Genomic DNA, 24,091 nt, shown 5'->3' on the forward strand with positions numbered 1-24,091 from the left:
GATAATCAAATTGATCTGAAGTCAGTACAATTTGTTTTGCTCAATGTTAACATTCTGAGGAGAGAAGAGATCACTAAAATATGTTGGGTGGACTGGTCTGTTTAGAATACTTGTGTTTGACAGTGATGGCATGTAAAGGGTTTAGACTCTATTTTCTGCAGTCCTTTGACCTACCTGCTCAGGAGACAAAAAGGTATTGAACTGGAGTCTGAGGACTCTAAAGTTAGAATCCTGTTTCTGCTACTCAACAGCTCTGTGGTCTCAAGGACTGTAACTCTGAACCTTACTTTCCTCCTTGGAGAGTGATAGTAATGAGATTTGTCCCAGAGAGTTCTTGGGAAAGTTAAGTGGGATGCTCTTGGAGGAAGAATTTGGAAAACTGTAGAGAAGCTGTCCCTGCCCCTGGCGTGGCCTCGGTCTAGTTCTCCCTGCTGCCTCTCATGCTCTGTGTCTATTGCTACCCCTTGGTATTTGTGTGGGGTAGCACAAAAGAAATACCTTTCTTTATTCAATTTCCCCTCCCTTCCCTGCCACCCCTACTCATTCTTGAAAATGAATTCATGGCTTACTTCCTTCATAAAGCCTTCGTGGACTACTTCAAGCTACAGGAATCCTTCCTGCCTCTCTCCCGACTGTTTTTGCTCAGCATCACACAATCTCTCACTTTATCACTCTGCTCCATGTGTATTTTTTAAACCTAGGTCTACTAAACTCCCTTGAAGAATGTCCCTTACACTTTCATATTCACCATGGTAACAAGGCAGGGTGCTAGACACATGCACTATGCACTTCCAAGCTGTGTGCTGCAGAGATCACACTGTCCCTTCTCCTTTTCCTTGTAGTACATTTCCTCTCTTCCCACCTGTCCACTCCCTACTTCTCCTTAGGAACCAACACAGATGGTGCCTCTTCTGCTACTTCCTCTCTTGTTTCCCTTTGTTTAGAGCTGTGCTTCCTTAGAGCTCATCATGATGTGGGCTTCTACTGTGACTTGGATGTCTATCAGTCAGCTGTGTATGCACCTACCTGCCCCACAGGGTGTGATCTCCTGGAGGATGCAGTACACAATGTGTACATTGTTGCACACACCTCCCTACCCTGAAAAGCCTGGAATGTATTATACATGCATTCTCTTGTTTATTGAGTACCTACTGTGTGCCAGAAACTGTGTTAATTGCTGTCGACAACATGGTGAGCAAAATAAATATGAGCTTCCCTCTTTGGAGCCTATAGAGTGTAGGATTCAGACATGGATCACATACTTGCAGAAAGGGATGCAAAACTGCAACTCCTGTGCCTGCTGCAAAGCAGGGGGGCCTGAAGCCAGAAGAGGACGTCAGAGGTATCAGAGTGGGCTTCACGATTAACTTCAGGAAAGGTGCACTATAAATGTTTGAAGAATTGTATGGAATTAAACAGTGGCTGCTCAATAAATACTTGTTGATTGATTGTTGGCAAAGACTTCAGAGATCCTGAGAAAGGGCCGCAGGTCCCCATCATTCTTATTACATAATTATTTTAGTGCATTTAAAGCTTCCCATTTTTCATCTTATACTTTAAACATCAGGGAAAACTGATGGGCCAACTTTATAATATTTTTAAATGACTCTATGGTGTTTTGAAATATTACATGGCTATAAGAGTTTATGTATATTTAATATACTTATTAAAATATGCAGTAAGCCCATAGCTGATTTTCTCTAAGGATGTCTCAGTGCCGAGGTGGGACTTAAATGTTTAATACTAATACTAATACTCATAACTCATATTTCTCTAGTGCTTTTCATCTTTAGGATCCGTAAAGTCTGTGAGTACCACATCAAGTGGATGCAGCTGGGCTTTCCAGCAGGCTGACAGGGACCACATATGGCCTCTTGCCTTCCTCTGGAGGGAGAAGGGGTGACTAGAGCTTAAGGTTTCACTCCTTCTCCAGCATTCTCCGCCTTTCCAGACACAAATTCCCTTTAGCTCTCTCTGAAAGGCTCTTACTTATATATAACTGCTGCTGCCAGCTATATGTAACAGATACTCACTGCCTCAGGCCAAGGAAGAAAGTGACTTTATACCTCTGGAGTACGAAAAGGGACGTATCACTTCTACAGCTGGTCAAGGACAGGATGTGGAACCTGAGATGGAGCAGCTGGAGAAGGGAAGTATAAAGGGAGTCTCCACTTGTTATCTAAACCCACTCCCTACTCCTTCCTTCTCTAGGTCACCGAGACCAGGACCGGTCCTCTGGGCTGCAGCAACTATGACAATCTGGACTCAGTCAGTTCTGTCTTGGTACAGAGTCCAGAGAACAAAGTACAGTTACTTGGTAAGCAGCACTATGATGGTTTTCATACCTTTCACACCTGATTTAAAAAAAAAAATTCCTAGATCAAATAGCGGGAAAAAATTCTGCCTGTTCCATTTGATCAAACCTTTCTTAAGACAAGAACTACCACAAGTTCTGGAACCTGTATTTAACAACTTTCCATCATGTTTTAAGAAACCTTCTGGTATGGTTTGTCCTATACCCCAGACCCATTGCTTATATCACATGACACCTCAATCATCCCACTTCACATTCCATCTCAAGTCCTCTGTCACAATCCTATAAGAAACAGCATACCCATCCTTATAAGAAGCCTTTACCTAGTTCAACGATCTTCATTTCCCAGAAAACCCTCTGCTTTATCCTAAAGACACATTGAGTAATAGCTGGCCTTTACAGAGTGGTTAGAAGACTACCATCTCCAGCTCAACTAAGATCTGTACAAAGTGGGGGACCACTACTTACTGGAACCACAGTTTGAAGGTGGCCCCTGCTTTCTGTTATTTGTCTGTGATCTTGCACATGGGCAATTCAAAGTCAGGAGATGAGTTTGAGAAGAATAAGACTTTTGATCTGAGACAGAACAAGCAAAACTGTGAAAGATAAAGGAAAGAAAACCACACTAACCCTGGAGGCTGAGGGCTAAGGGGAGACGTGCATCTCTTGCTGTCTGTTCCCTGCAGGCATCCTGGGGGCAGGGCTATGCAAACTGATTCAGTGGGAAAACTTTATTTTTCTCAAGGCCTAACTGAATTGTACTCTGTTTAAGATATTATTGTCTCAGCATTACAAAATCAATAACCCTCACTCAGGATCTACGATTACAAATTCCAGGCAACCTGAGTCAAATGCGACCCAGCAATGCTTTAGGAATTAAGAAATATATAAGAAAGAGGACTAAAAACTCGTTTATTTAGAGCTACCTAAGGCAATTAGCATTCCTCTTCACTGATGTCCCTGGATGGGCTGGGTTTGTGTCTGGAAAGTAGCAGTGAGTGAAGTTCAAAATGTCTAGTTGTTCATTTGGAATAGTTTATGCTATTTAATTTTATACCCCAACACTCATGCAGACATTTGTCGGGGCACTGATTTTATAGCATGGGAAGTGTTCTGGTGAGGAGGAGGGAAGTGATGGGGGAGGTGAAATGAAAGGACTTGGAGAGGGTGAGTGTTGAAAGCAAGCATGTGGATTGGGTGTGTGAGGGGAACCACTCAAATGCCACAGTAGGCACAGTGCCAAGGAAGGAAAATTTAGGGGCAGTACAGAATTGGAGGTAGACCTCAAGAAAGAACAACAAACACCCACTGCTGCTAGCAATTTTAAGTTATATTTTGAGGTCTGCTGAGACTGGGATACATACTTTGAGTTCTCTGGTTTCCTGCCAAGGACAAGGTCAAGGGCCTAAAAATAAAGAGCTGGCAGACGTTTGAGGAAAGAGGAGCTCACCATATCCAGAAGTTCTCATATTCCTCACTTTCCTGGCACAAGGTCTCACAGTGTCGCTACTGGGGAGCCTCCTGCAGATCTGACCTCGAACGTGGCCCAGACTGCATCCAAAGGCATGCCTACCCTTTGTTCATCCTTTGGTAAGCTTCCAGCAGCCGCCTTGTGAGTGGCTTGAAGCCAACTAGGAGTATGTTCTGCTGTAGGTAAACTGGTAGTTACTGCAGTTGGGTGAGAAAACTGAAGCTCAGAGCAATTTAGTGCATTCTATCCAAGATCAGAAGTTAATTGGAAGAGAGCTGAGAGCCATTCATATCTATCCAGGCATGACTGATCTCAGGGCATTGACCACCATCCCACCTTCAAATCTTCTTCAGAGTTAAATCCTATTGAAATAGGACAGCCAGTCCCAGTTATATAGTATTAGCTGATGAGACAAGGGCAGGATCTGACACTAAGCAGATTCTATGAATGCTGTGATTTGGGCAGGTCACTGTGGTCTTAGGACTTGGATTTCCTTACCTATAAAAACCTCAATATGAGCACAAATGTTATTTGCAATCATATATAAAAAGTACTCAACATAGTACCTGGGCACTGTATCCCCACAATATCTGTTCCTATCTCTTAACCAGGACAGCTTCCTTGGTCATCAGAGCTAGGGTGGGGAGGCCCAGAAGGGTCAGAATTCAATAATGTCCTAGGATGCCTACTGCTAATCTCAGTTAAGCTATAAACAGGATGGCTACAGGAGGCAGGGCAAAAAGCCCATCAAACCTTGTTTTCTCACCCAAGAGGGCTGTAAGCTCTTCTTTTATCTGAAACATCTTCCTGTTTCCATCCCAGAAATGCTGATGTGTAGCCAATAAGCCTGTTCTTATGATATGCACGCTCTCAATTTGGCTGATCTGAGGGGTTTAGCTAAGCCTTGGGCTTTGATTTTCCCATCTGCATTTTCAGATCCTCCCCCATCTGTCACTGGGGCAGTAGTAGCCTTCTCCCCCAACCAGCTCAGCAGGATTAGGCCCTGTGGTGCCCATGCTTGGGCCCAGGATGCACAAGTCAGCAGAACTCCAGCTGGGATTCCTGCAGGCTTGGGCATGGGAAACTGAGTCCTCACTGGTTCTTCCCAGAGATTCCTTGACACATCCTTTCCCCAGGCCTTCAGGTGCTGCTGCCTGAGTATCTGCGTGAGCGCTTTGTAGCTGCAGCACTCAGCTACATCACATGCAGCTCTGAGGGTGAGCTCGTCTGCAAGGAGAATGACTGCTGGTGCAAGTGCAGCCCCACCTTCCCTGAATGCAACTGCCCTGATGCTGACATCCAGGCCATGGAGGACAGCCTGCTGCAGATCCAGGACTCCTGGGCCACTCACAACCGGCAGTTTGAAGAGTCAGGTGAGCAGCCAGAATTCCTCCCTGTCAATGAGAGGTGGCTGTGAGGTACAGAGCAAGAACATGGGGAGAACAAAACTTGAGAGTTGAGGATCCTCATGGGGATCCTGACATGACCACTTAATTGTGTCTGTGACCTCAAGCAGGTTATATCACCACCCTGAGGCTCAAGTGGTTTCATTTTTTTCTAGGACATTGGTATTATGTCCATTTACATAGGTGTGTTTTAAGGACTTAATAAACAAAGATAAACATAATTAAGGGCACAGACCTTGTTTGTCTTTTTTGCTACTGCTTCCACAGTGCCTAGAGCAATGCTTGCACATAAGGTTCGCTATAAATATCTGTTGAATCAATGAAGTGCATAGAATGGTTCTAGATGACATCCAATACAATTCAGTTGTTGTTTGTTGCTGTTAAAGCTAATATCAGTTACCTTGAGACCTAGATTCAAGAGAACTGGTTTTGCATCCTTGCCTGGTTTGACAAGCTTTATGACCTTGGATTAGCCGTGCAGCTTCTCAAGGTCTCGAGTTTCCTCATCTGAAAAAGAGGGAGAGTGATAATAGTGAATGGAAGGCTCACATGAGATCATGTAGATGCTCAATGTATAAAGAACTCTGCATGGTATATTTGCACATTTCAACACTAAATGAATGATATTTATGTGGATATAGTTCAAAAACATGATGTTGAATAAAACAAAGCAAGACAAAAAGGTTACATTATATATATATTTATATAATGTCTTCATATAATACTATAATTTATTAAGTATAATACATATGTAATACTATTTATATAATGTTTACAAACAGGATACCCAATACATGGTATTTTTATGGATAACTACATTTGTTGAAAAATAAAAAATATGTGATAATGGAAAAGAAGACATCAAGAGAGTGGTTACATCTGGATAGAGAGAAAGGGAAGTTTAGGGCCCTCACATGCAGTATATTTGGTTTGCTTTATTTCTTAAAGAAAAAAAAATCTGAAGCCAATATGGCAAAATGGCAAAAACTAATGGCAGACACATGGGATTTGTCTTTTTGCTCTGCATGCTCTTCCATACACTCAAATGTTTTACCTATGCACATACTAGATGTTAGTGCCATTACTAGGCATGATTCTCCAATCTTCTGAGGAGATGAGGAACCAGGTACATGAGAAATCAAAATGAGCTGAGGCCCCAGGGGTTGCCATTTTAAGTCCTGGACAAGGCATTCGGTAGCGAAGGAGAATATCACATTCCAGTCCCCAGGCTCATGCTTTGGGCTATGGTGGTGGGTTATGGTCCATAACATGACTTTGGGCCTTTACTACTATGAGTTACTGCTGATGAATAAATCAGGGCTCTCTAGACCTCTACCAGGAGACCTGGTAGCTGCAGGTCCCAAGGAAAAGCAGAGCAATGCACAGAAACCTGAGCATGAGTTCAGAAGCCATGGTGTGCCCAGGAAGCTCTAAGGAGAACCTAGACTCAGCAGGAGCTTAGAAGCAGAAGGCAGGTTGCTTCTAAATTTGCTGTAGGGCAGAATGGATATCTGTCCAAGAGCTGAAGCTGAAAAGAGAAGAAGAGTATCTTAGTCAGAGAGGAGGACATGGGTGGGAGAGGCTGGTCTCAGGGACTGGAGGATTTATAGAAAGATTTCTGAGCTGGGTGCTGCATCTCCTCTGTGCCCACATGTGCCAGTCTGGGTGCACACTCACCTTCATGAGGGCCCCACATGTTCCATATGGGTTTTGTGGTGTTATTGAAGAGGATTGGCCTTGAGATAGTGTTGTGGATGTCTTAGAAGGAAGTATAAAGGGGGAAAGAGATGCATCCAAGGTCATTAGCAATAGCAGGAACTCTGGCCCCTCTGAGGGTGGCAGAGATCTGTTTTGAAATTCAGAGGCATAGGAGTAGAAAAGATGAGAAAGTTCCCGAGGCCATATTTTACAACATGTTAATTATTTCTCAATAAAGGTGTTGATTTTTTTAAAAAAGCACCCAGGGAAATGGGTGTGCAGCCTCCTTTCTCATGCAGTAACTTTGAAGGGCCCTGGATCTGGGCAGCGTCCACTTGCCCCTACCAGAGTTCTGCATAGCTACCCGTCAGCTCAGGTCCTGTGTTCTTGTCCACAGAAGAGTTCCAGGCCCTGCTGAAAAGGCTGCCCGATGACCGGTTCCTGAACTCCACAGCTATCTCCCAGTTCTGGGCCATGGACACCAGCCTTCAGCACCGCTACCAGCAGCTGGGAGCTGGCTTGAAAGTGCTGTTCAAAAAGACCCATCGGATCCTACGCCGGCTCTTCAACCTCTGCAAGCGCTGCCATCGCCAGCCTCGCTTCCGCCTGCCCAAGGAGAGGTGAGCACCCCCTGGCTGCTACAGCCAGAGCTCAGCACCTCCCCTGACAGCTGCTGAGGCCAAGGAGAACCCTCTGTCCAATGTAGGGGATCAGGGAGTGGTGACTCACACATAGCCTTCCAGTTATCTTGACCTACTCATGTGTGTCATTCTCAGCTGTGAGTTGCGTCTGAAGTGAGAGAGAGAAAAAAAGATGGGCTGATTTTACTATTATCTAAATTATAGTTGATTCAAATGTTATTCTAGTAATACTCTAATTCTCATTTACTGATTTCCATTTTAATAAGTCTTAGAAAAAAAGGGATGGAGTTAAATTTCATCCAGCAATTGCATCTGATGAAAAACACACACACTGGCTTGTGTCAAACAAATGATTCTGCTCTGGGTCACAGGAGGAAAAAAAGTGGAGACCTGCACCCTCAGGGATACAGTGGGGCTGTATCATTACAAGTATCCACTTGTTCATCCACTGATTCATTTATTTATTTAACAAGTTTTTGAATCCGTATTCCATGCCTTACTATTAAGCTGCAGGGGTATTCATGAATTGGAAAGATTTAACAAACAGAAACATAAAAACTAGAAAATTATAACTATGTGGCAACCACTTAAATTTATGGTGGTAGAACATAAATCAAACGGATAGTCTCCTAGAGGTAAAACCAGAAATGAAAGCTTCCTTGGAGAAGAAAATCTTGGCCACATTTTGTGGGAAGAGAGGGAAATGATCTGGTACATGTGAGGTAGGACAGTCTTCCAGGCAAAGGAGCTGCCTTCACGGCCAGCAACCCAGTGGTACAGCTCTATCAGAGGCACAGGTAAGAAGAGAAGCATACGAAGAAGTGGTTTTGAGAGGAGTTCATTTATTCTTCTTTCAACAAATAATGATTAAAGGCTTACCATGCACAGAAACAATTCTCATTTCTGAGAAGCTGTTGGTCTCAAGACAGTGTTCCTTCTTTCATGGTATTTACTAACAGGGAAGCCGTTTATAAACAAGTAAACAATAAATAAATAATTTCAGCTACTGATAATTTTCATGGATTGAATAAAACAGGGTTACGTGATGGAGAATGAGTGTGGTGGTTCTTTCGGCAGGGACATCAGGAAAGACTTCTTTGAAGAGGTAACATAAGAGCTAAAATCAAAATTTTAAGAGAATCAGCCATATAAAATTTCTGTTCTTGGTGGAGGAGTGAGAGGAGCAGAGAGAATAGAAAGGACAGAAACCTTGAAGAGGGAATGGAAGTTGGCAAGAAGTTAGAAGATTTGAAGAACCATCTTATTTAGAAGGCTGAAAACAGATTTGACACAAAAGATGCTGGAGATCCTCTGTAGGTTTTTGAATAAGGGAATGAAGTAGGACTTGGGAGAGATGAGCCTTGTTGCTCTCAGTACAAATTTGGTGTCCAGTATTTCTGGTGCTGACCCATCAGACACAGAGCTCTAGGCTTTGCTCAATCAGTCCAAAGTAGCAAAGTAGAGTTTCTGCCACTCAGAGATCTTGGGGATTTTATTTTCCTCATTGCCTTCCACGCCTAGTGGTCAATGTCTTGCTGCCCTTAAGAAGGGTGTCAGTGTGTGACTTCTTTTGACTCTTACTTCATTTTATCTCTGCTCCCCAAGGTCCTTGTCCTACTGGTGGAACCGAATCCAGTCCCTCCTCTACTGTGGGGAAAGCACCTTTCCTGGCACTTTCCTGGAACAGAGCCACAGCTGCACCTGCCCCTATGACCAATCTTCCTGCCAGGGCCCCATCCCATGTGCCTTGGGCGAAGGGCCCGCGTGTGCCCACTGTGCTCCAGACAATAGCACACGCTGTGGGAGCTGCAACCCGGGCTATGTGCTGGCCCAGGGGCTGTGCCGGCCAGAGGTGGCCGAGTCCCTGGAAAACTTTCTTGGGCTGGAGACAGACTTGCAGGACCTGGAGCTAAAGTACCTGCTGCAGAAGCAGGATAGCCGCATTGAGGTACACTCCATCTTCATCAGCAATGACATGCGGCTGGGCAGCTGGTTTGACCCTTCCTGGAGGAAGCGCATGCTGCTCACCCTGAAGAGCAACAAGTACAAGCCTGGGCTGGTGCACGTGATGTTGGCCTTGTCCTTGCAGATCTGTCTCACCAAGAACAGCACCCTGGAGCCTGTCATGGCCATCTACGTCAACCCCTTTGGGGGCAGCCACTCTGAGAGCTGGTTCATGCCTGTGAATGAGGGCAGCTTTCCTGACTGGGAAAGGACTAACGTGGATGCAGCTGCCCAGTGCCAAAACTGGACTATCACCTTGGGGAATAGGTGGAAGACTTTCTTTGAGACAGTTCATGTTTACCTACGGAGCCGAATCAAGTCCCTGGATGACAGCTCCAATGAGACAATCTACTATGAGCCCCTGGAGATGACTGATCCCTCTAAGAATTTGGGTTACATGAAAATTAACACCTTGCAGGTCTTTGGCTACAGCCTGCCCTTTGACCCAGATGCTATCCGGGACTTAATTCTCCAGTTGGACTACCCATATACTCAAGGTTCCCAGGACTCTGCACTCTTGCAGCTCATTGAGCTCAGGGACCGGGTGAACCAGCTTTCTCCACCTGGCAAAGTCCGACTTGACCTTTTCTCCTGCTTGCTCCGGCATCGGCTTAAGCTGGCCAACAATGAGGTGGGCAGGATCCAGTCCTCCCTGAGGGCTTTCAATTCTAAGCTGCCAAACCCTGTGGAATATGAGACCGGCAAACTCTGTAGCTAATGGGCGGCCCACTTCAGCACTGGGCAAGGAGGGGATCCATGAATCTGGGGTACAAAGATAATCTAAGCCCTCACCTTAGTGCCAACAGGGTGTGCTCCCACGAGACTTTCAGCATCCAGTAGATGGGACCTCGAGGCTCGAGCTGAAGCAGGCGAGAGAGAAACAGCTACTGCGTGCGTGCGCGCACGCATACACACACACACACACACACTGGCACAGGGAGGCTACAACTAAGCAGCCTCAGATCTGTAAAGTTGATTGGTGCTTTCTAAAATGAATGCAATTGAAAGAAAGGAGCCAAGGAAGAGATTAAGAAAAAGAACCAGCTGAACCATGAAACAAACAAAAATCCTAAAAGTGATTCTTGTCATTCAAGAAAGCAAGAGGGGACAACAATGGGAGGGGTCGGAGCTCTTCCTTCCCCTCTGTGGAGTCACTTTTGTATTCTTTTTAACCAGATTTCTTAAAATGTTGTTGTTTTGTGAATCCTGACATTGGTTCTTACTTTTGTATGCTGCCTCCTCTGTGCCCTCCCAGACGCTGACTGGGAAACACAAGAAGTACAACCAACAGGAACCAGCGCCAAGGGCAGGCAGCGGCCTCCTTGCTCCCCTCCCTTACTCCTCCCTCTGCTGCCTCCTCCCCCCACCAAGTTTCAGGGCCCTGGATTGTTCCCAGTTCCCATTGTGGTCCCTTCAGAGCTCCTTTCCAACAGCATCTCTCTGTCGAAGAAAGAAGCTCTGTCAAGTTAGAGAGAGACAATGTGTAGGAAATGTTCTTTTTTAAAAAAAAATAACAAAAACAAAACAAAACTATTTATTTTGTGATTGTTTTCCTTGTTAATCTGCTCCAACCACCTGAACATCTAAGTAAACATTTATCTGGTTTAATATATTTTTGGAAAAGGCCTTTTTTAGGGGGAAAAATGAGAGAAAAAAGAAAAAAAAAAAGAGAGTATAGTCCCCTGGGTTACCTGGATTTTTCTTTTTAATTGCTATTTGCATGACACAAGAGTGTCCATGAAGCGGGGATAGTACTGTGTGGGAAGCTGGTTGATTGACAGATACACAAGTTACACAAGTGAATGAGTGCCTGTGTTGACTGGGCTGTGAGGGGTGTATGAGAGAGAGAGGTTAAATGAGAAGCGAGGTAGTACTATCCCAGAGTTATCTCACTACACTCCCATCACCTTTTTTTTCTCCCTGGGTGTGAGGGCTAACATGGGTCCTAAAACCAGGATTTCCCACATGGGGAGAATAGTTAAAAAGGTCTTGCTCGTAAGAGGAACTGCAGTCTTTGCACTGGGCAAAGTCCTGCTAAAGGGGCTCCTCTTTGTCGACACTGCTGCAGACATTAGGAGAATTTCCCATATGCTGCATCTTATGATCTGGGATCACCCTTTGAGAAAATTGGGAAAGACAGAAATGTAGCATCGGCTCCCTCCATTCTGTCTGATTACCACATTCCCAACCCAAATAGCAGCTTTGATGTATACAACACAGAACAATGCATCCTTTTCTCCTAGTGCCTCCCTCCAGGTGGTATGAGAATCACTTCATAGCATCTCTTTTGGAGAATCACTTCTTTGTCTATGCTTCACATTCCAACCACAATGCATAGGCATGACAACCCCCATTTTGTTCAGGAGAGAGTCACCACATAAATATGAAATATTTCATTTCCTACCTGTGGTATATCTCAGTTGGCATAAAGTGAAATGGAAGACAATGAGACAATGATTATGTCTCTCTGCCCAGGGGCCTTCTATGTTTATTATTGCATGCAGAAGAATTTGACATTATATTTAATCATTGCATGGTCTTTCAACGTATAAGAAACTGAAATCCTTGGTAGATAAGCAGCCTGGGGCATTTCTTTCTTCACCACTTTCCTGAAGGCTTCCAGGGTAGAAATACAGAGTGATAGGATGATCTGGGGTGAGCACGGTTATTGGCTGTCTATTTCTAGTTAAAGTCACTGCTTGCTTTGGGAAGTTTGTACAGAGCTCCTCACCCATGGGAGATGGAATAGGCAGATGACATCATCAGCAGGAGTGTTGAGATGTACCCGATGAGGATGCTTTTGGTGGGAAGGGGTTGACAAGTGGTGGGAAGGCTTTGATACCTTCCAGTGATGGGGTTTGAGTGGTAGATACCAGAGTCTGATTTTAGCACTCTGAAAGTGTATGTCTACAGGCAGTAGGAGTGGATGGACAGGGACTCTTACTCATTAATTAAAGGTGCACCTTTAGCAAACTGTCAACTGCCAGGCACAGCAATACTCAGAGTGGGGAGGACAGCCATTGAGAATGTACAGTGCACAAAGCAGTGTGGAGCCTCAGTAGCACAAGCATGACTGCCCCAGTGGGAACAGAGTCATCACATGAGGGCTCACATCCCACCTAGGCCAGTCCCACAGTTGTGGTGAGGGATGGGAAACCTCAGCCTTCTGTCTTTGTATCAGCAACCAGACTGGGAGAAAATCGCACCTATGGAATTATTAGTAAGGATGCTGTGTCTCTTTATTTCAGAGATATGAGATCTCTTGTCTTGGGAGGTTTTCAGGAAGATGATGGCGTGATGTATTGTGGTTCTAGGGAATATATGCATCCATTTACTAAGCTTTCCATATCTTGCCTATCTGGAGGTTTAAACTATGAAGCTTAGTGTACCAACTCCATCTAAAAGTACTACTACACATTGGTAAATATTTAGTGGTGCCTTTGATTCCAGATGCAAGTATCATATTGATAGACGGCCTAACCAATATGAATTACAGAGGTAGAAATGTCTATATTTGACCTAGTCATCTGTTACCTGTGATAGATGTTTGATTTGTCTGTTCTGGGACAGTGATAGGGTGCTTGGTGTAGAAGAACTTGTGTCAAAGGAGCAGGCCAAAGACTTTGCTTCTAGAACACAGGTGGAAGAAGAGGGGGTGTAAGGGATGGGTAGCATCCTTTAAGAGGCTTTCAAAGGCTTGAAACCATGAGTTTAGCACAGAGTTTTTCAGAAAGCTTGGCTAAGAAATGCCGTAATAAGAAAAGGCTGTCCTCAGTTGAAACTGTCACCTTTAAAGTCCATAATAATCAAAATATGTGAACCACCTATCCACAGACACAGTTGCAAATAAAGAATTGTCATTAATTAGTGCTGGATTGTCAATGTTGGTGAACTCATTGTGGAATTAAGAGCAAAATCACAATATAGTTCCAACCGTGCATTGGATAATAACAATTAGGAATTCAAGTTTTAATTGTAACCCCAAAGAACGATACATCAAATGCTAATCTGCCCTAATGCTTGAGACTAATACCTCTAATACTAAATAATATATTTAATACCTGCTAATAAAATATTGCTATGCTCTGCAAGCACACTCATGCATCAACAGCCAAAAACATAAATGAATATCACTTCCAATACTGGGTATTACAATAGTTTAGTTCCAGTTCTTCTGTGTTTTTTTTCTTTATCAAAATATAAAAATAGTGGTCATGATAGGCAGAGCTGCCTTGTAAGTAGACAGAATATGTTGCCGACATGATGTCCTGTCCCAAAATACCACTTGAAAGTCTGCAATTTCATCAGATGGGTCGATTCTCTTGCATTTCAGAAAAGTCTCTCTCTTTTTTTTTTGCCATTATATTCTGCATGAAAACTAAAATGCCCTGAAAAAGAAATCAGTCTTAGAAGTTAACCCAATGGCAAGATAGAAAATTAGATTTTTGGAGTTGGAAGATTTTTAGAGGTCATCCGGTCCAATCTCATTTCTGACATGAGGAAAAAGAGGTTAAAAAATTGAGAAGTTGGCTGGGTGCAGCAGCTAATGCCTGTAATCCCAGCACTTTGGGAGGCCAAGGCAGATGGATCACGAGGTCAGGAGTTCGAGACCAGCCTGGCCAGCATGGTGAAACCCCATCTCTACTAAAAACACAAAAAATAGCCGGGCATGGTGGCATATGCCTGTAGTCCCAGCTACTTGGGAGGCTGAGGCAGGAGAATTGCTTGAACCCAGCAGGAGGAGGTTGCAGTGAGCCAAGATCGCACCACTGCACTCCAACCTGGACAACGACAGAGTGAGACTGTCTCAAAAAAAAAAAGAAAGAAAAAAAAGAAAAAAACTGAGAAATTTGCCAGGCCTGGTGACTCATGCTTGTAATCTCAGCACTTTGAGAGGCCAAGGCAGGTGGATCACTTGTGATCAGGAGTTCGAGACCAGCCTGGCCAACATGGTGAAACCCTGTCTCTCTACTAAAAATACAAAAACTAGCTGGGCGTGATGGTGTGTGCCTGTAATCCCAGGTACCAGGGAGGCTGAGGCAGGAGAATTGCTGGAACATGGGAGGCAGAGGCTGCAGTGAGCCGAGATTGCACTGTAGCACTCCAGCCTAGGCGATAGAGCAAAACTCCATGTCAAAAAAAAAAAAAAATTGAGAAGTTAAAGAACTTTCTCATGGTTGTGTCTAGTATCAGAGCTAGGAATAGAAGTCTCATCTGGTTCCTTCTCTACCTCTCTTTACCAATAAGTGACATTTGGGTCCTAGAGATGACAGGGACCCTGGCCAGGCCTTAGGAGTGTGGGGATGGAGGAGAGAAGGCAATTTTCCACGGAGAAGAAGGCTTCTATGAGATGGAAGTATCTTCACACTTTTCCCTGTAATTGATTTTAGCAAAAATAATCAGCTACTGTGACAAGTGAAGGAAAAGGACTGATGTTTCACCCCTTAGAAGCTTGAAGCACAGAGTAGGCATTTTTCCATCTAGGCTGGAAATAGAGTGATTAACTTGCTGGTTTCCTGATGACCACCATCTCAGCTCCATGCTTTTTAATTGCAACATCCTGCCTTCAATTTGTTGCTATTTTCTATAAACCACCAATTGGAGAGTTTGAATGTCATTAAAAATTTGATAATTTCTGAAAACATCTTCCATGTGAAGTCTAGAGGTGACTGGGTCCCACCAGCATCCAAAGGTCTCGCACTGTATAGTTCCTGTGGTCTGAATCTAGGGTCATGGCCAAGGAGAGTAATGAAGTGATACTCTGCTGTATACTAAGAGTCCTGGCTCCTACCGACAGCAAACCACAAAGAGCAAGGGCCAAGGGAGTCATTTTACCCAAGAAACAAAACTGTGGCTTGCACTCCTGGCATGCTTTCCTTCTCTCTAGAACATGCACTACGCATGTTAAGGAGGAAGGATAGATTGGGAAATTTAGGTAGTCTGATGGCATTAGACACACAGATTTCTTCTGGTTTCTCATTCTGGTACTGCTACCAGCCAGCTCTGTCATCGTGAGGAAGTCTCTCCACTTCTCTGACCCCCAGTTTGCTCCCCTATGGAAGAGGAAGTTGGAGTTCCCATGCAGGTACTAATTGTATTTCTGTTATCATTTCATGATGTTACAAGCAGTGTGGCACAGGCACAGGAGACTGTGTAAGATGTAAAGTCAGATCTGGATTTGCATGTTGGATCCATACTTACCATTTAAGTGACCTTTATTCTTCATTTGTCTCATATGTCACTCAACTGCTACATCCTCACCTCCCTAAAATTTTTCATTCCCTTCTCTTTCTGAACATTTACCTCCTTGCATATGTTTGCTCCATACTCCCCAACATCCAGAATGTGTCCCTTCAATTCCCTAAAATTCCATCTTCCTTCCTTCCTTCCTTCCTTCCTTCCTTCCTTCCTTCCTTCCTTCCTTCCTTCCTTCACTAAGTGATAGGCACTAGGCTAGGTGCAGGATATTCAAAACTCTACACAACATGTTTCCAGAACATAAACAATTGTGCAATATGATGTGGGGTGGGGAGCAGGCAGTGGGATGTATGAACAATTCAGAGTGGAGCATTCTTAGTAGGGATGTACAAAGTACTGATGGAACATAGAAAGAGAGCATGTGACTCCCTGGAAGAGACTCTAATGGCATTTGTTGTGAGGCTTCTAATAAAGCTGGAGCAATGTTCCAAGTGTCCAGATGTTTTACATCTCAGTAGAGGGAAAGATTTAAAATATAACATGTGCATCCCTTCTCAGAGAGCATAAAAGAGCAATAAGAGCAGCAGAGCCCCATTGAAGCCACACACTATGTGTTTGGTGCCCTAATTTCTGACTCCTGAGCATCAAGTTAGCACTTGTTACTCAGTTCAAGGAATACTTGTGGGACTTCCATGGGAGCTCTGTTTGGTAAATGAGATGCCTCCACTCCTTAAGGTGCAATGTGTGTAACCAGTGCTTCCCTGACTTTAATTAACCTGCAGATTCTGACTCACTAAGTCTGTAGTGGGCCCCAGATTCTGCATTTATAACAAGCCCCCAGGTGATGCTGATGCTGCTGGTCCATGGACCACACTTTGAGGAGCAAGCTCCTGGAGAGCATGCCTATTATATTCCTGCAGTACTCAGGGCTCGAAAGTAAGAGCTTCCTGGGAAGGACAGAGGCTAAGAAACCAAAGGGTCAATTGCTGGCTCTGAGGTAGTGACTTCACTTATGAAAATCTTGGTGCTTTACTGGCCTTTATTTTCTTAACCAATTAGAAGCCAAGTGTCTGACCTATACAAATGGAGTGAGAATAGGAAGCTGAGAGAAAAGAAAGGAAACTTAACTAAGTCAAAATTCTGAGGGCTCTGAGCTAGCTGGCTTATCAATGTGTGTTTACAGATAAGCAGCCCCATGGACCAGCTGAATCATGCTGGCTGAATAAAGGTCTTTTCCCCAAAGCATATCAAAGCAAATCTGTTCAGAAGTAGAACAGCGAGTATCTGTCATTCTACAAAAACATACATCAGACAAGGTGATTAAATCCACACCAACAACGTACAAGCACCCAGAACTCCCAGACTTTAGACTACTTAGGTGCCAGGTACCTAAGTGCCCCTAGGCACCCCATGTAAAAACTGAAATGAATTATTTTTGTTTTCAGTTCTATCCTTCTCTCTTCCAACCTGTGTGATTACCACCCTTGCATCATTAATAAAAACAACTGCCAGAATTTTTGTAGGGTTATTCTTCCAAAGATTTCAGGACTTGGAAGAATGAATCAATCCAAATTACTTATTAAGCATTTTCAGCTAGGAGGTGTGGGAAACAAAGCAAACATGGGCTTAGTATGTACATTTTCTTAATTCTAAAGGTTTGCAGATGACTTAGAAAATGAAACTTGTGGGAAAGTGCCATAGCTAAGTAAAAGAAGGAACGGGATTTAGTGTGCTTTCTGGAGTCAGGCTGCCTTGACTCAACCCCGTCACTGCCACTTACAAGATGTGAATGGCTGGGTATGTCATTTAATTTATTTGAGCCTCAGTTTGCACATCTGTGAAAGAACAGCAATGAAGTATGTATCTCATAGGATATTGTGATGGTCAAATAAGATAAAACATATAAAGAGCAGGGGCAGGCTTAGAGCACATGCTCAATAAGCATAGGGTTTTTCATTCTGTTAGATAGTTTCTATGTTTGAAGAAGAGGCAAGGGAAGGGAAAGGGAAGGAAGGAGAGGGGAGGGGTGGGAAGAAAAGGAAACATCCATGTTATCTACCTGCAGAAGCAAACTTCCTGGAAACAAAGAGGAATTTATCATCTGGGCCGTTATATAAGAGTCATCGAGTAATGTAATGAAAAGGCTCTTCAATTACAGTTTTGTGGAAGACACAGATAAGCCACTGAAATAGATATTTTTTATGTAGACCCTCTATAAAAGCAGAGAATATAATATTACAGCATAACTCATTGCTGAAATGAGTTAGGCTGTGCCCTGCTGGGTCATGTGGCCTAGGAACATTGTTTTGATGATACAGCTTATTACAGTGATAGAGCTTGGAGTGTCTAAGAAAATGGCTAGTTAACATGCCCATTAGACTGCCTCTTTCAAATAGCACATCTTAAGAGCACTTACGGCAAGTACCGGATTGCAGTCAATCCCTGGTTGAATTCTTTGATGAGGAACCAGGGTGCAGTACTGCCATAAGGCTTTTAGATACAGACAGAAGGGAAGCAGCATTTATATTCCTGTTATAATAGAAGTATAAGAAGTGCATAGGCTGAAAGGTGAAGGATAATGTTCCAAGCAATGGGAGCACCTATGTCTAGGCACAAATTCCTAGACACAATGATAAGTCAGCCTGATGTTCACATTCCATACCCAGCCTCCTGGGCCAATGCCTTCCATTTCATTCCTCTTTTATAAATAACAGCTTTATGGATGTATGATTCATACACCAAAAATTTCACCCCTTTAAGGTGTACAATTCAGTAATTTTTATTCAAAATGTTGTGCATAGATTGCCACTATCCAATTCCAGAACATTTATATCACCCAAGAAAGAAATCGTATACCCAGTAGCAGTCATTCCCCATTCTTCACCAGCCCCCAACTCCTGGCAGTCTCTATTTCCTGTCTCCGTGGATTTGCCTATTTCAAACATTTCATATAAATGGAATCATATACTATGTGGCCTTCTGTGTCTGCTGTCTTTCTCTTAGCATAATGTTTTCAAGGTTCATCTAGGCTGCAGCAGGCATCAGTATATCATTCCTTTTTATGACTGAATAATATTCCATTGAATGAATATAGCACATTTTTGTTTATTTATTCATCAGATTATGGTTATTTGTATTGTTTACACGTTTTGGCTATTTTCAATAATGCTGCTATAAACATTTGTGTTTTCAGTTGTTTTGGGTATATGCCTAACATGGAATTACTGGGCACCGTGGAACTCTATAATATTTTAAGGAACCGTCAGTCCATTTTCCAAAGCAGCTGCACCATTTTACACTCCCATTAGCACATTCTTTTCAACATATGTCATTATCTGTCTTGATTATTGCCATCGTAGTGGGTGGGAAATGGTATCTCATTGTCATTTTCATTTACATTTCCCTAACAACTAGTGATATTGAGCATCATTTCATATGCTTATTGGTCATTTGTATACCTTCTTTGGAAAAAATGTCTATTTAAATATTTTTTTCATCTTTTTAAATGGGCTACTTTTCTTTTTACTGTTCAGTTCTAGGAGTTCTTTCTTTATATATTCTGCATACAAGAACTTTATCAGATATATGGTTTATAAATATTTTCTCCCATTGAGTGAATAGTTCTTTTACTTTCTTGATAGTGCCCTTTGGACCATAAGTTTTAAGTTTTGATGAAGATCAATTTTTCTACCTTTTTGTTGCTGTTTATACTTTTGGTGTCATATCTTAGGAAGCATTGCCAAATCGAAGGTCACAAAGATTTATGTCTGTGTTTTATTTTGAGAGTTTCATAGTTGTATCTCTTAGTTTAAGGCCTTTGATCCATTTTGTTTTAATTACTGTATATGGTATAAGATTGGGGTCCAACTTTATTATTTTGCACATGGATGTCCAGTTGTCTCAGCACCATTTGTTGAAAAGCCCTCTTCCCTTGTGGAATTTTCTTGGCACATGTATCAAAATCGATTGACCATAAATGTATGGCTTGATTTCCAGCCCCTCAATTCTATTTTATTGATCTATGTGTCTATTTTTATACCACTACAAAAAAGGCATTGTCTTTATTGTTGTATCTTTGTAGTACATTTTGAAATCAGGAAACGTATATCCTTTAACTTTGTTTTTCCTTGTCATGATTTTTTGGCTATTCTGGGTCCCTTGCATTTTCATATAAATTTTAAGTTTAGTTAATCAAATTCTGCTAAACAAAGACAGCTGGGATTTAATAGCAATTGTGTAGAATCTGTGAATCAATCTGGGGACTGTTTTTATCTTAACAATATTAAGTTTTCTGATCTGTGAACACAGAATGTCTTTTCATTGATTTAAGTCTTTAATTTCTCTTGATAATGGTTTATAGTTTTCAGTATACAACTCTTATACTTCTTTTGTTATATTTCTTCCTAAGTATTTTATTCTTTTTGATGATACTGTAAATGAAATTGTTTCCCTAATTTAATGTTTGGATTGTTCATTGTTTATGTATAGAACTACAATTAATTTTTGTATTTTGATCTTATATCCTGCAACCTTGTTAAACTTATTAACTCTCATTCATTAGGGCTTTTTTGTATGTGAATTCCTTAGAGTTTTCAATATGCAAGATCATATCATCCCCTATTATAGATAATTTTGCTATGCCCTTCATATGTAATGCCCCTTCTTTGGCAAGTATATTCTGGCTCTTGATTTCAGAGCAGGGGGAGGACAAATTCTTTCTTATATTCTTACTAGAAGTATCTGAGATAATTGTTTTACTGTAGAGTCAAACTGGCTTACGAAAAATATTACTCTCAGCACTATCTGTTGGTACATAAAGGCAATCAAAAGCTAATATGGTAAAAGGATGAGAACAATTAATAATCCAGGGTATTTATTCAAAGATCTTAACCCATCTCCAACATTCTTAGCTATCCCCAAGGACCACTGTACACCAGCACTAAATGAATCAGGCTTAGTAAATGGGAATCCCATTCATAGCCTCCATCCTTGCCATGTGGCTATGTAGTTCACGCACCCATTTTACCAGTACCAGAGTTGCCAATAAAAGGGATTGGCTTTCATCAGCTGACCAAGTCATTACATCTAGTTGTTTAATACCTTTTCTGTAATAGATGTTCTCTGGTGGGCACTACCATGCAATTCAAAAACCTTCATACTTCCTGTCCACTTCTATAGATCTATCCACGTGTCTCTTTCCCAGACCTCCTTGTCTCTAATCATCTAATCTTTCTTTTTCCATGTTCTTGACCAAACAACCAAGCCATTCATCCTTGCCCATCAGTTCATGTATCTATCTTTCTGCCTTTGGCCACTGTTCTTTCAACACAAAGTTGATGACCAATGGCACACCACATCAGATTTCTTCCTATTGGGAGGATTTCCCTCATCACTATCTGTCAGAAGCTCACTATAAATAAAGCTTGGTCATTTTACCTCTCTTTTAGGTGATTGTCAAGGCTCTTCTATTAAGCCATATGTGTGAGCTTTGAAAGAAATGCTAGTACAACAGAGAGGGATGGCATGGCGCTGTGTGCCACCTGTTGCTTAGCTTACTTATGCTCTCCAACCCTGCTTGTGCCAAATCTTGGCTGTACCATGTCCATCTTAGAATGGATTGCTGCAAGGCTGGCCCCAACTTATGACAGGGTGGCTTTGACTCACCTCACCTAGTAAGAGGGAGCTCTGGTGCCCATAAGGTTCCTTGGTGCTTTATGGTTAAAAGCTCTGTATTTACTAGGGCCCAGTATCACAACAGGAACTACTTTTGGATGGTGTATAGTTCTTTGTTATAGATGGCATGGACTTTTTCCAAAACCCCAGAATTCCAAGGCTTTCCATAAACTCTATACATGATGCTTCCTATCATTGATGTCTCTACTACTATAGGGGCTCCTAGGTTACATGGCTTAAGTGTCAAGACCATTTTTACCACAGCCTTGTCCTTCTGCTGAGAGCTCTTTCCAGCTCTGAACAATACTCAAAGCTCACAGACTTTTGTGTTATCCATCAAATGGCTCACAGTAGTATTCCTTTATGCAAAATATGCTGCCTTCAGAACCAGAATAAACTATCAATATTTGTGCTATTTTTTTTAGTAGCAAGAGGTGTAAGGTGCAACAATTTTTAATTTAATTTGGAGGGAATATTCTGGTATTCTCCAGAACTGTGGACCCTGTCTTAGTCTATTTTATGCTGCTATAATGCAATACCACAGGCTGGATGATTTATAATGAATATAAATTTATTTCTTACAGTTCTGGGTGCTGGGAAGTCCAAAATCAAGGGGCCCACATCTGGCAAGGGCCTTCTTGCTGCATTATCCTATGACAGAAAGTAGAAGAGCAAGAGAATGTAAAGGGAGATGGGCTGAACCCATTCTTATATCAGGAAGCCACTCCGGCAATAACCAAAGCACTCTGCAGTAATGACATTAATCCATTCATAAGTGCAGAGCCTTCATGACATAATCACCTCTTAAAGGCCCTACCACTCAACACTCTTGCATGGGAGACTATGTTCCCAACAAATGGATTCATGGGGGGACACATTCAAACCATAGGAGACCCTTAAAAGTGTTATTGATGTGCTGAGTTATGAAGCTTTAATCTCCACCTCCTGCAGCATATGTGCTTTGGCCAGACTTCCAATACACTTGCTACTTTTTGCTAATCTGATCTGACTACCATGATACTGGGCCAGTGTGATGTTCTGAAGAATGCCAGACACCCCATCTCCCTTCTAGTAATATTATGACAGAGTCAAAGTGTTAACATAACCTGAGAGAAGATCATAATTGTATACTCTTGTTCTTATCACACAAGTGTGAACTGCTTCTGATTCTCCTTTCTGATAGGGATGGAAAAGAATGCACTCACCAGATCAATAGTCAGGCTAGAGACTGGCGGCTTCAGTAATCAGCTTTCGTAAATGTACATTTGGCGTAACAGCTACAGTTAGGGCCACTATTTGATTAAGTTTGCAGTAGTAATTCATTCAGCTGTGATTCATTCTATTTTAGTAGGGTCCATTCTAGTTAATTGAATAGAGATTTGATACAAACCATCGCCTTTGAATTCTTTGCACCTTTTAAATTAGCACTAATCTCTACCATTTTCCTTGGTTGCAGTATTAATTTTTTTATTTCCTGTCTTAGTTTGATTGGGGGCACAGATTCACAGGCATCCACTTGGCTTTCCCTACTATAATATCTCTTATTCTTCAGGGTAAGAAACCAATGTGAGGTATGTTCCTTCAGTGCCTAATCTGTTAACCGTTTTTATCATGAAGGAATATTGGATTTTACTGGAGCTTTTTCTGCATCTTTTGAGGTAATCATATGGTTTTTTAATTCTGTTTATGTAGTGAATTACATTTATTGATTTGTGTATGTTGAACCAGTCTTACATCCCAGGAATAAAGCCTACTTGACTGTTGTATATTAACTTTTTGATATACTACTGGATTCAGTTTGCTAGTATTTGTTGAGGATTTTTGCATCTATGTTCATCAGGTATACTGACCTAAAGTTTTCTTTTGCCATTGTGTCTCTGCCATATTTTGGTATCAGGCTGATGCTGTCTTTATAGAATGAGTTAGGGAGGAGCCCCTCCTCCTCAATTTTTTGAAATAGTTTTAGTAGGATTAATACCAGCTCTTCTTTGTATGCCTGGTAGAATTCAGCTGTGAATCCGTCTAGTCCAGGGCTTTATTTGGTTGGTAGGTTTTTTGTTACTAATTCAATTTTATAACTTGATATTGATCTATTCAGGGTTTCAATATCTTCCTGATTCAATCTTGGGAGATTTTGCATTTCCAGGAATTTATATCTTTCCTCTAGATTTTCTAATTTGTGTGCATAGAGTTGTTCACAGTAGTCTATGAGGATCTTTTGTATTTCTGTGGGATCAGTTGTAATGTCTCCTTTGTCATTTCTGGTTGTGTTTATTTGGTTCTTCTTTTTTTCTTTGTTAATCTAGCTAGCATTCTATCAATTTTGTTTGTTCTTTTGAGGAACTCTTGGTTTCTTTTATCTTTTGTATAGATTTTTTGATCTCACTTTTGCTTAGTTCTTCTCGAATTTTAGTGATATCTTTTCTTCTGCTAGCTTTGAAGTTGGTTTGTTCTTTTTTTCTAATTCCTTTAGGTATGAAATTAGATTGTTAATTTGACATCTTTCTAACTTCTTGATGAAGGCATTTAGCACTATGAACTTACCTCTTAACACTGCATTAGCTGCATCCCAGATATTTTGGTAAGTGGTGTTCCTGTTTTCATTAACTTCAAAATTTATTCTTTATTTCTGCCTTGATTTAAATGTTCATCCAGGAGTTATTCAGGAGAAAGTTTAATTTGCCTG

The 24,091-nt window shown here is 42.0% G+C and overlaps 1 protein-coding gene across 3 annotated transcripts in view; it reads left to right on the forward strand.

Moving 5' to 3' along the window:
- Nucleotides 1-11,146, forward strand: part of BRINP2 (BMP/retinoic acid inducible neural specific 2) — a 111,465-nt gene extending 100,319 nt beyond the window's left edge. For all 3 annotated transcript variants that reach the window (XM_005245379.3, NM_021165.4, XM_024448722.2), the window contains 4 exons: nucleotides 2,212-2,317; nucleotides 4,922-5,158; nucleotides 7,287-7,509; nucleotides 9,136-11,146. In XM_005245379.3, coding sequence (XP_005245436.1) covers nucleotides 2,212-2,317; nucleotides 4,922-5,158; nucleotides 7,287-7,509; nucleotides 9,136-10,252 — 1,683 coding nt within the window. In that variant the 3' untranslated portion in view covers nucleotides 10,253-11,146. The remainder of the gene's footprint in view (nucleotides 1-2,211; nucleotides 2,318-4,921; nucleotides 5,159-7,286; nucleotides 7,510-9,135) is intronic.
- The last annotated feature ends 12,945 nt before the right edge of the window (nucleotides 11,147-24,091 follow it).

The sequence above is a fragment of the Homo sapiens genome, chromosome 1 (assembly GCF_000001405.40).
Source record: "Homo sapiens chromosome 1, GRCh38.p14 Primary Assembly".
NCBI lineage: Eukaryota > Metazoa > Chordata > Mammalia > Primates > Hominidae > Homo > Homo sapiens.